The sequence below is a fragment of the Homo sapiens genome, chromosome 21 (assembly GCF_000001405.40).
Source record: "Homo sapiens chromosome 21, GRCh38.p14 Primary Assembly".
NCBI classification, from domain to species: domain Eukaryota; kingdom Metazoa; phylum Chordata; class Mammalia; order Primates; family Hominidae; genus Homo; species Homo sapiens.
Genome location: NC_000021.9, coordinates 25548770 through 25561776, shown reverse-complemented (window position 1 = coordinate 25561776; position 13007 = coordinate 25548770). Strand labels below are relative to the sequence as shown.

At 40.9% G+C, this 13007-nt stretch overlaps 2 annotated features.

Moving 5' to 3' along the window:
- Positions 48 to 97: an enhancer, noted in NCBI's record as "active region_18308". NCBI's record gives its function as "activates an Ori minimal core promoter by ATAC-STARR-seq in GM12878 lymphoblastoid cells {active_cell/tissue: GM12878}" and the evidence as "EXISTENCE:reporter gene assay evidence [ECO:0000049][PMID:35858748]".
- Positions 10127 to 10186: an enhancer, noted in NCBI's record as "active region_18307". NCBI's record gives its function as "activates an Ori minimal core promoter by ATAC-STARR-seq in GM12878 lymphoblastoid cells {active_cell/tissue: GM12878}" and the evidence as "EXISTENCE:reporter gene assay evidence [ECO:0000049][PMID:35858748]".

The following is a 13007-nucleotide window of genomic DNA, read 5'->3' as shown; positions in this document are numbered from 1 at the left end:
TGGAGGGGGAAGTGGCGACTTCTTGCAACTGGGTGGCAGGAGTGTCTCTACTCTCTCCTTGCAGGGAGCCCGAGAGGAGCAAGTGGGAGGTTTTTCCTCCTGGACCGAATCAGCTGGAGACCAGCAGGTCCCTAAGAGAGGAAGAAATGGTCTTCAGGCGATCCTGGATTTCATCCCTACCTCATCACCCTTCAAGAGCCCGCGTTTGGTTTGGAATACGTAACTGGGCTTTGAGAACGTTTGTACTGTGTCTGGTACCCGCATTTATACTCGGGATGTCAAGATATAGGACTTAAAACTTCAAAAATTTTGACCTCAACAACATTCTCCCCCTGCCCTCCACTCCCATCTCCAGGACATATTCCTGGAGCATATGGGACTTCGGTCGTTTTAATTTTTGGTTTTGTCGCTTCTCTCTTTTCTCCCGGACCCTGCCACAAGGGGAACATTTTCCTGGAGCAGCCATTTGATTTTGGGGGATGGAAAGGAACAAATAGATCTAAAGCCTGGCAAGTTTATCCTACAAGCCTAGTCGAGTAACTCATTCATGGGTCTCAGTTCAATAAACGTTTAGACTTGAAGAAGAATAAGGAAATATGGGGAAGAGAAGGAGGACAGGAATAGATCTAGCCTCATCAACATGTGACTGGGGCCTTTTTGTAAGAAAGACGGGGCCACTGCTGGATTGCATTGCAAGTATCCAGTACTTGGACCTCCCTGTCAAGGGCACAAGACATTTTAGAATAGTTTGTATTAAACTGATGCCAGTTACATGTCAGAATACATGTCAGAGCTGGAAATCCCATAGTACTTAATTTACAGATGGCTCAGGTTGGTTAAGGAACTTGGGAGCATTTTAAAACCCTCTATTCTTAAGATACATGCTTTTTCTCTTATAATTCAAACAAGAATAATCATGATGATAACAACTAACACTTATAAAGCATTTACCATGTGCCAGATCCTGTCCTAACACTCCTTATATGCATTAACTCTTTCAGTCCTCACTATGATCATATGAGGGAGGAGCATTATAATCTCTATTTCCAGATGAGGAAACTGAGCACAGAGAGATTAAACATGTTACCTTAGATCCTAGTAAGTAGTCAAGCTGAGATTCAAACTCAGTTCCAACCCTGGAGGGCTGGCTCCGTAGTCCAGTCTCCCTGCTTTCCAGATCCATGTGACGTTGAGGAGCTGGGGAAGTTGTGCAGTGGGGCATGTGGCAAGGATGCATGGTCCCCACCCAGGTGGGGCACGTCCCTCTGCTGGTTACAGATGCCTACAATGCCTTTCTGAATTTCCCATTTCTCATTCTAGGTTGAACTATAAGAAATTGCCCATAGGCAATTCTAGGGTGACCTTTCATCCCCAGAATGACAAGTTTGTATAATGCACTTTAATAGAAACAGGAAATTGCTCAATCCTCCCTTCTCCCAGTGGTGGAAGTAATTTCAGGTCATGTGCAAACCTCCGCATTTTAGGTCCCAGTTTGAGACACCCAGAATAGTGGATGGATAAATGGGTTTTAGGAGTCAAATACACCTGCATTTTACACTAATTCTAGCTGTGGAATCTGAACGTTAAACTTTTTATGTCTCAGCTTCCTGTAAATGACAATAATGATGTCTCCCATCAGGGATTACTATAGACTGAATCATGTTCTCTTCAACTTTATATGTTGAAGCCCTGATCCCCAATGTTATCCCCATTTGGAGATAGGGCCTGTGAGGAGGTGATAAAGGTTAAATGAGGTCAAAAGGGTGGATCACTAATCCCATAGAGCTAGTGCTCTTATGAGAAGAGGAAGAGACACCAGAATTCCCTTTCTCTCAGAAATCAGTCAAAGCAGAGGTCATGTGAGCACACAATGGGATGGTGGTTTCCTGTAAGCCAGGAAGAGAGTCCTCACCAGAAACCGAACCCTGCAGGACCTTGATCTGGAACTTTCTAGCCTCCAGAATGTGAGAAAATAAATTGTTGTTGTATCAGCCATCCAGTCTATGGTATTTTCTTATGGCAACCCTAGCAGACTAAGAGGGATATGATGATTAAATAAGGTGATGGATAAAAAGTACCTGCTCCAGGCCAGGCGCGGTGGCTCATCCTGTAATCCCAGCACTTTGGGAGGCTGAGGTGACTGGATCATGAGGTCAGGAGATTGAGACCATCCTGGCTAGAATGGTGAAACCCTGAATCTACTAAAAATACAAAAAAGAAAAAAAAATTAGCCGGGCATGATGGCGGGCACCTGTAGTCCCAGCTACTCTGGAGGCTGAGGCAGGAGAATGGCATGAATGCGGGAGGCGGAGTTTGCGGTGAGCCAAGATCGCGCCACTGCATTCCAGCCTGGAATGCGAGCGAGACTGTCTCAAAAAAAAAAAAAAAGAAAAAAAAAAAAGGACCTGCTCCAAATGGATAGCTTGAGAAAGTAAGAGCTGGCCACCTGCCGGGACAAGTACCCCATGGATGTTGTTGTGGGCTGAATTGTGTCCCCCTCCCCCCACCTCCCAAATTCATATATTGATGTCCTAACACCCAGTACTTCAGATGAGATCGGGTGTGTGTGGGGTGGTATGGCTGTAGACCAACCAGTACTTCAGAATATAACCTTATGTGGAAACAAGGCCTTTGTGGATGTAATTAGTCAAGATGAGGTCTTATTAAAATAGGGTTGGCTCCTAATCCAATATGACTGGTGTTCTTAGAAAAAGAACATGATGTGTAGAGAAAGAAACACATATAGAAGGAAGACAGTGTGAAGAAACATTGGGAAAAGATGGCCATCTACCAGCCAAGGAGAGGGGCTTGAAACAGATCCTTCCCTCACAGCTCTCAGGAGGAACCAGTCCTGCTGACATCTTGATCTTGGACTTCAGCTCACAGAACTGAAAAACAATAAATTTCTGTTGTTTAAACCACCCAGTTTGCGGTACTCTTGTCACAGCAGCCCTCGCAAAGTAATATGGATGTGTCTCCAGGGCTGATGGGGCTGGTGTTCTCATCCCTCATCTTACCCTCCAGAGACCGAGCAGCTCACATCAATGACCTTCCAGATAAGAGTGGTACTTCTTGATATTACTTATTATCAATAATGATGAATAGATTGTGACAACTGGCACAGCTACAGATCAATGACAAAGTCTTGCTAAAAACATCATAGTTTCATGAAATTCTACAGAAACCTACAATAATCACAGGGAATGATTAGGAACCAGCCTCCAATCTCTCTCCTTAAAAAAAAAAAAGTGGTAGAAAAAAATAAAAATAGTTTCTGGAGGTTTAGTACTCAACGATCTTGAAGTTCAGCCCTTTGGAAGAATGTAAGACAGAGATGGTGAGTGAAGAAATAGACCCACATTTCAGCCTTGACCAGCTTATTTATTGTGGTACAGGGTTTCAGTTCACTGTTTACCCTGTTGTACAATAACCTGGAGATAATTAATTATTTTGTAAACTTGTGGTTGCTCTCCATCCCTGAGGATGAAGTGGATTGAATTGGCTTCCTTTGGACTCCATCAGTGGCGCAACCATAATTAATGCCTGAGGCTAAAAAAATGTAGCCTTCATAAGATGTTCAGATTTCATGAAGAGTGTTTGTTTTTATTTTTCACAAACAAAGCATCAGAGAATTTTTTCCTATCATAATTTAATTTTTATTCCTTTCACTGTTTATAACATTTGGAAGCCCAATTCTGGCCTATGTTGTTTTCACTCATGTTTCCTCTGTAAATGGGTTGCTGCTTTGGAGTGTTATGTGATACTCTTAAATGCTGGGATGCCTTTCCCTTCAGAGGGCAAAGGAGTGGCTTTTTTTCTCTCTCTTTCTATCAAATAGATGAAATTTACAAATTAGAGAGAATGAACCTTTCAACCTTATCTTTCCCATTCACCCCTTCATAAGGAACACTGGAATAAAGTCAAACCTCTGCAAAGGAGACTAGTGTTTTCTGCAGTGAGTTACAGACTCTTTTTAGCTATGCTCTAATTGTTTAGTCATTTATACTCATCAAATGCCTCTTAAGAATTCTTTTGTCTATACATACACTGCCTTCCATAGATAACTTTTTTCATAAAATTTAAAGTTTTTGGTAGTGTAGAGATTTTGCTCTTGGCTCATTTTCTTCATTTGAACATTTTGGGAAGGTAGGTTTTCACAGTCTTTTGGAAATTTTCATATAATGGAGGAAAAGTTAGGTTCTGGGGAAAGGACGAAGATTCTCAAAATATTTTGGTTCTTGAACAACCTTGGAAGGGAACCATTCTGCTTCCATATAGATGTCATCATCATCACATCACATATAGAGAAAATTCCTCCACCTGCCCCCCCATAGCACTCACTTCCCTCAGTATCTGACCTCAACCATATTCTTATTTCAGCTGGCCTGGCTCAGTGTCTAAAGGTTCAGTTTGTGAATTGATGAGTCACCTGTAGTAAATTACTCTACACTGTCTTTCCCACCCCCTTCCTCTCTGAAATAACTGGGGAGACTTCTCTGAGCACCAACAGTGTCTATTATTTTTTTCAACTTTTATATTCAGGGAGTACATGTGCAGATTTGTTATAAGGGTATATTGTGTGATGCTGAGGTTTGGGGTACAATTAAACCCATCACGCAGGTAGTGAGCATAATACCTACTAAGCAATTTTTCATCCCATGCTGCGCTCCCTTCCTCCCCTATCTTGTAGTCTCCAGTGTATATTATTCCCATTTTTATGTCCATGTGTACCCCCCGCTTTTTTTTGAGACAAAGTCTTGCTCTGTCGCCTGGACTGGAGTGCTCACTGCAACCTCTGCCTCCCAGGCTGAAGCAATTCTCATGCCTCAGCCTCCCGAGTGGCTGGGACTACAGGTGTGCACCACCACGCCAGGCTAATTTTTGTATTTTTAAGTAGAGGCAGGGTTTCTCCATGTTGGCCAGGCTGGTCTTGAACTCCTGGCCTCAAGTAACCCACCCGCCTCGGCCTCTCTAAGTGCTAGGATTACAGGCATAAGCCACCATGCCCGGCCCTGTGTACTTAATGTTTATTTCCCACTTACAAGTGAGAACATGTAGTAGGTGATTTTCTGTTTCTGCATTAATTTGCTTAAGATAATGGCCTCCAGCTGCATCCATGTTGTGCAAAAGATACGATTTTGGTTTTTTAAACAGCTGCATAGTATTCCATGGTGTGTATATATCATATTTTCTTTATCCAATCCACCATTGATGGACATCTAGGTAGATTTCATGTTTTTGTTATTGTGAATAGTGCTGGAGTGAACATACAAGTGCATGTGCCTTTTTGGTAGAACAATTTATTTCCCTTTGGGTATATACTCAGAATGGGATTGCTGGGTTGAATGGTAGTTCTATTTTTAGTTCTTTAAGAGATATCCAAACTGCTTTCTACAGTGGCTGAACTAATTTACATCCCCATAAACAGTGTATAGTCATTCCCTTGTTTTCTGCAGCCTCACCAACATCTATTATTTTGGGGCTTTATAGTAATAGCCATTCTGACTGGTGTGATATGGTATCTCATTGTGGCTTTGAGTTGCATTCTCTGATGATTAGTGGTGATGAACATTTTTTCATATGTTTGTTGTCTGCTTGTATGACTTCTTTTGAGAAGTGTCTGTTCATGTCCTTTACCCACTTTTTAATGGGGTTGTTTTTGCTCATTGACTTGTTTAAGTTCCTTTTAGATTATGGATATTAGACCTTTGTCAGAAGCATAGTTTGCAGATATTTTCTCCCATTCTATCATCTGTTTACTCTGTTGATAGTTTCTTTTGCTGTGCAGAAGCTCTTTAATTTAGTTATGTCCCATTTGTCAATTTTTGCTTTTGTTGCAACTGCTTTTGAGGACTTTGCCACAAATTCTTTGCCAATTTGATATCTAGGTTTACTTCTAAAATTTTTACAGTTTGAGACAGCAGTGTCTATTCTTGTGTTCTTTTTCTGCCTGAAGACCAACATGTATAAGTCAGGCACCTGGAACCAAGCTGAGAACTCAGTGATACTCTCATATTGCTCATTGAATTAGTCCTAGGACTGTCACAAAATACTATGACTTAAATAACAGAAATTTATTGCTCACAGTTCTGGAGGCAGGAAGCCTAAGATCAAGGTGCTGATTCAGTTCTAGGTGAGCACTTTCTTCCTGCAGACAACCACCTTCTTGCTATGTTCTCATATGACCTTTCCTTGGTGGGTGCATGTGGAGAGATATACCCACCTCTCTCCCTATCTTTATAATGCCACTACTCCTGTTTAGATTAGGGCCCTAGCCTTATAACCTCATTGATTACCTCCTAAAAGCCCCATCTCCAAATTTCTGTTGGTGATTAGGGCTTTATTGGTGATTGCTTAAGATAATGGCCTCCAGCTGCATTCATGTTGTGCAATAGATATGATTTTTTCTTTTTATAGCTGCATAATATTCCATGGTGTATATATATCACATTTTCTTTATCCAATCCACCGTTGATGGTAGGAACACCAACGTTGTGGGGGAACACAATTTAGATCATAGCATATTGCCCATGGCCTCCCAAATTTACTTCCTTCTCACATGCAAAAAATATATATTTTAACTCAATAGCCCACAAAAGTCCAACATAAAGTCCAAAGTCTCATCTAAATGTCCTACAAATCAGATATGGATAAGACTCCAGCTGTGATTCATCACGAGGCAAAATTCCTTTCCAGATGTGAACCTGGGCAAGTCAGATAAGTTATGTGCTTCCAGAATTCAATGGTTAGACAGGAATAGGGTAAACATTTCCATTTCAAAAAAGAGAAGTAGAAAAGAAGGAAGAGGTGATAGGTCCCAAGCAAGTCCAAAAATCTAGTGAGTCAAACTCCATTAGGTCTAAAGGCTCAAGAACAATCCTCTTTGGTTTGATGCTCTGTCCTTCAGACCCAGTGGGATGGCAGCATCACCCCAATGGCTCTAGTTGGAGGTCTCGCCTCCAAGACTTCAGGTGGAGACCATCTGACCTTTAGAAACCAAGGTGGCAGCCCTGATGACCTCTGGATTCCCTGCAGGGTCATTTTCCCCTCTTCTTTAAGAATAGCGTATGTGTGCAGCCAAATAGCTCTATTGTCTTGTCAAATCCAAGAAGTTCAATAGCTTTCCTTCATTTTGTTCCATCTCTGTTCCCTTCAGTTAAAAATGAAAATGTTTTTACTCATATAATCTCATTAGCTCTTTATGAGGTGATAATCCAGCTACACTTTGATGTTCTCTTCAGAGCATGCTTTCTCATTTTTTGCGGTATGGGTAGGCTGAGAATTTTCCTAATATTCAAGTCTGGTTCTTTTTTTCTCAACAATCCCTTCTTCAATTAATCTCTCTCCTTTCACATATTCCTAAAACCAGCCAGGAGGAACAAAGCCACTTCTTCAACACTCTGCTTAGAAAAATTCTCTGTTAACTATCCAGTTTCATTGCTTTCAAGTTCTGTCTTCCACAAAACACTAGAACATGAGCACAATTCAGCCAAGTTCCTTGCCACTATGTAACAAGGGTAACTTTTTCTTCAGTTTCCAATAAAATGTTCCCCATTTTCATTTGAGACCTCACCAGAATATCTGTTAACATCTATATTTCTGCCAACGTTCTCTTTATGTGTATTTACCTTTTCACTGAGAAGATCGAAGCTTTCTTTCCAACTCTCTATTTCCGTATGAAACCTCACCAGAAATTGCTTTTAATGTCTGTATTTCTAGCATGGACCTTAACACTCTTCTAGCCCCTACACACTACTCAATTCCAAAGCTGCTTCAACATTTTTAGGTATTTGTTATAGCAGCATTCCATTTCTTGGCATCAAAACCTGTATTAACCCGTTAGGGTTTCCATAACAAAATATGATAGACTGAGTGGTTAAAAGACAGAAATTTACTTCTCATAGTTCTGGAGTATGGGAAGTCTAAGACCAAAGTGCCAGCTGGTTAGATGCCTAGGAAATGCTTTCTTCCTGACTTGCAGATGGCCACCTTCTCATTATGGGCTCATGTGGAATTTCCTCAGTGTGTGCATTTAGAGAGAGAGATCTCTCTCTTCCTCCTCCTATGAGGGCACCAGTCCTATTGGATTAGAACACCATCCTTCTGACCTCATTTTAACCTTAATTCTAAAAGCCCTGTCTCCAAATACAATCATATTGGGGGTCAGGGCTTCAACATATGAATTAGGTGAGGGGAGGTACAATTCAGTCCACAACACTCTCTGACTATGAAAGTGGTTTTTGGCTTTCTTTTTGTATTCTTCTTTTTCATTTTTTTCAGGTTTTTAAAAGTATTTATAGGGGAAACATACAGGGGTGAGGACCATCTTTGGAGACCTCAGAATGGTATCCTCTATACCTCTGGGCAATTGCAACCCTCATGGGTCCTTGCTCAGAAGCATCTCACCAGTCTCTGTAGGGGCCTCATCTATGATTTCTACAGGTGTGTATGCTTTTTGTAATAAATACAATAATTTCAGTTTTCTTTTTACCAAGCTTTATTTTTAAATTATTCAGCTATCCCAATGGCCTTTTAAATCCTTTTTTGCATCTCCAGGTCTGTTTTAAGAACAGCATTCTAATGTTAATTCTGTTGAATATAATTTTAAACTTATCCCGGTGCTAGGTTTAGGGTGTGGGACAAAGTGAATCCAAGGGAGTAGCATGAATAGGGGCAGTAAACTGTGGAAATGAGCTAACCTTGAGCTTCAAGATTATCATTCGTGTAAACAAATGCATTACGAAACTAATACAAACATACCCAAGAGGTCACTTGACATTATTCTATTTTACAGAAAACGTATGCATCTATATAAGTTCCAGGCTCAGTTATCTCTGAAATAACAAAATGCTTTCAGGTAGATAAACACAAAAGGAATATCTCAGTTTCCCACGTTTTCTTCAAGCCTCAAAGGAATGTGTAGTTAAAATTCTTTTTTTTTTTTTGTAGAAGTGACCAATATCTTTGATATCATCAGAGAACAAAACTTTAGTCATGCTGATTTCTATCCTGTATTTTGAACACAGCTCTTTGTTGGAGTTCTATATATTTATTCTTCTAAAAAAATCTTCCCTGACTTATCCAGCTTTCATAGTCTAAACTTTTTGTCCAAACTCTTATGGCACTGATGGTCAGATTTCTTTATTATTATTTTAGAGACAGGGTCTCTCTCTGTCACCCAGGATGAGTGCAGTGGCACAATCATAGCTCGCTGAAACATCACATTCCTAGCCTTAAGTGATCCTCCCATCTCAGCCTCACATGTAGCTAGGACTACAAGCATGTGCCACCATGCCCAACCAATTTTTTTTTAAATTTTTATTCTTTGTAGAGACAGGGTTTTATTATGCTGCCCAGGCTGGTCTTGAACTCGTGGCCTCAAGTGAGCCTCCTACCTCAGCCACCTAAAGTGCTGGAATTACAGGCATAAATCACTGCATCTGGCCCAGATTTCTCTATTATTAACTGTTGCATTTCATACTATATCATTTGATTTTCTTATTGAGCTGCATTATCAGTGTTTGTTTTTATCTTGCTAACATAAATGTAACATGTTCAAGAACTGGATTCATGTTTTATTTACTAAATTACTATTCCTCATAATACTTAGCATAGTATTTAGTGTTAGGTGCAAGGTAGTTAATCAATAAATTCTGAATTAAATTAACTTTGCTAGGAAACAGGAGGCCAACAGAAGAATAGCAAGTGTATATATTCAAAGATGACCTAAACAGGGGTGCAATTTTGACTCAACAAATTAAGGGTCTATGAATGTTAATAAATACAGTGTTTGGTATATTTGGCATATCTTTATATAGTTTGGATATATGTCGCTACCCAAATCTCATATTGAAATATAATCCCCTTGGAGGTAGGGCCTGGTGGGAGGTGATTGGATCATGGGGTAGAGTTCTCATGAATGGTTTAGCACCATCTCCCTTGGTTCTGTCCTCATGACAGTGAGTACATTCTTATGAAATCTGGTCATTTAAAAGTATGTAGCACCTCCCACCTCACTCTCTTGCTTCTGCTTTCACCTGTGATGTGGCTGCTCTGCCTTCCCCTTCCATTATGATTGGAAGTTCCTGAGGCCTCCCCAGAAGCAGATGCACCATGCTTTCTGGACAACCTGCAGAACCATGAGCCAATTAAACCTCTTTTCTTTGTAAATTACCCAGTCTCAGGTATTTCTTTAATAGCAGTGTGAGAATGGACTAATACAATATTGATTAATAAAATTATATTGACTTATGAATGCCCCTACTTGAAGAATAACAGAAATTGATTTTCAGGGTGGCAGCTGGTAGAACTCTTGATTTATATGGTCAAATTTATTTCTCCCTGATCTTGATCATCTCAGTAGTTGCTGCCACCTTCTACTTTATCGTTCGGGCACCTGTTATTTCTTACTTTCTGTCACTCCACATATCCAGTTCATTAAGAATTGTATAGACTCTACCTCTAAACCATGGCCTGATTCCACCTACATCTGTCCATCTCTACTGCTACTACCCTAGTCCAAACCACCATCCTCTTTTGCTTAGACAATTGTCGTGCTTCCTTCCCTTTTCCTCCCATAATGCATACATAGCCAGGGTGGTCTTTTAAAAACCTAACTCTGATGCCACATTCTTACCTGAAATTCTGCCATAGCTTGCCATAGCACTGAGGATAAAAGTAAACTCCAACCTGATCTGCAGTTTTACAGCATCTGGGTCCCACTTTACCCTTCAGACTTCATTTGTGCATTTTTCATTTTTACTATATTTCAACCGCAGTAGCTTTAGTTGTGTTCCTGGAAATTAATGAGCCTGGCTCTGTCTTAAGAATTTACATGGTAATAACCACGGTGTTCCTTCTGATTTTATATTCTGTAGGCAGTAAGAGGGCAGTTTCTGAGAAAATCAGCAAACAGAACTGTGGGAGGAATACTTTTGCTAACTCTAATTTTCTATGGTAGTAAACTTCCCTGTTGCCAGTAAAATGGAACTGCCCATAGTGGTTAAACCGGGTGAGAAACGAACCATACGTGACTTAAAAGTAACATAAGCTCTTTAATGTCTCTTTACAAATAATTTCACCTCTTGTTGAGGACCTGATGATCCAAAGGAGACCAAGGATAAGTAATGAGAGAGATCTTAGGAATATAGCTTGATATAAATCAGAATCTTGTTCTACCACAGATACCTTCTTCCTCAAAGCAGAGCAAGCAAATATCCACGGTGCCGGATCATCAGGCCCCAGGGCTCAGGTCACCGCTGTTGCCAGTATGGGTCCTCCACTCTAGGAATTAGCATATATTACACAGCGGGAATATAACTGGAACCCCAAAGAGCCGTTTGATGTTCGGAGATGTAAATTATCTTTCTGTTGGGATAACCTCATTTACATGAAGTGATCATTTCCTCAAAGTTTGGTGCCCAAGTGTTCAGTTTTCTGAGTACCATCTCTTGGGTAGTGACAAGATAATAGATGTATTACTAGCTTTCTCTCAATGCCAGTGTAAGGGAATTGGGTACAAACCCCAGATGTTTCTTCTCATCTTCTAATTTAAATGCAGGTTCCCAACGTGATAATGGGAGAGCCTCCTAGGTTTGTGATATAGTTTGGATATTTTTCCCTGCCCAAATCTTATGTTGAATTGTAATCCCTATTGTTGGAGGTGGGGCCTATTTGGAGGTGCTTGGATCATGGGGGTGGATCCCTCATGAATGGGATGGGACATCCCCTTGGTGATAAGTGAGCTCTCGCTCTGAGTTCACATGAGATCTGGTCATTTAAAAATGTGTGGCACCTCCCCTGACAGCTCTGTCTCTCTCTCGTGCTCTACCATGGGATGTGCCTGCTCCCCATTTGCCTTCTGTCATGATTGGAAGCTTCCTGAGGCCTCCCCAGAAGCACGTGCTGGTGCTATGCTTTCTGTACAGTCTGCAGAACCATAAGCCAATTAAACCTCTTTTTTTTTTCTGAATTACTCAGTCCCAGGTATTTCTTTAGAGCAATACAAAAATGGTGAATACACTGTGTGCTCACATGGAGGGTTACAAATTATTCTGGTAGGAAAGGTCTTTGGTGTTTCCCACACCATACACCAACACCACACTGCTAGAATGTCTTTAGAAGGCAATGTCACACACACAAAAGTTCTAATTGAGGTACATCCTCAGCAGGGTGGCTAACTGGATAGGCACTGCCTCACACAAGCTGCTCATCCCTGGAATGTCATACTAGGCTGTGGTGATGCCACATTGTGTTGGCAGTTTTATAACAGGATGCTTATTTTATATCTATCTATCTATCTGGATATATAAAAGGCCATATCTGGATAGGTCATCTATCTGGATATATATTAAAGGCCATTTGTACACAAATGTTCAGGTAAATAACATTAAGCTTGGAAAAATATATCTGAGATCCCAATTAAAAGATAAAGATGGTCTAGACAGGCTCCCACTTTATTTTCTCTGAAAAATAGGCCTAGATATGAAGGCCTGGCCTTGGCGCTCTATCGCTTGGATGCTTTGTCCTATCCCTGGGGTGTCTTTAGCAAGCTGCAAGGACCAAAACGTGAGGTTTACAGTTAAAAACAAATCCCAAGGTCCTGTAGCCATGCTCAGGAGCCAGGAGTTTTTTCTTGGAGGAAAGGAATGGTCAGAGCCTTCGTCTGGGGAGAGTGGGAAGCAGGGTCACTAGGACAAGCCCAGGCTGTCAAGTGCTACCCTGCTCCTAGTCCCTTGCTCTAATGTATAGTTGCTTTTAATTTTATAATTTATTTTATTTTATTTTGAGACAGGATCTTTCTCTGTCACCCAGGCTTAAGTGCAGTGGTACAATCACAGCTCACTGTAGCCTCAACCTACTGGGCTCAAGTGATTGTCCTGCCTTAGCCTCCCTAGTAGCTGAGACTATAAGCATGTGCCACTATGTCTGGCTAACGTTTTGATTTTTTGTAGAGATAGGACCTTCACTTTGTTGCCTAGGCTGATTTCAAACTATAGGCTTAAGTG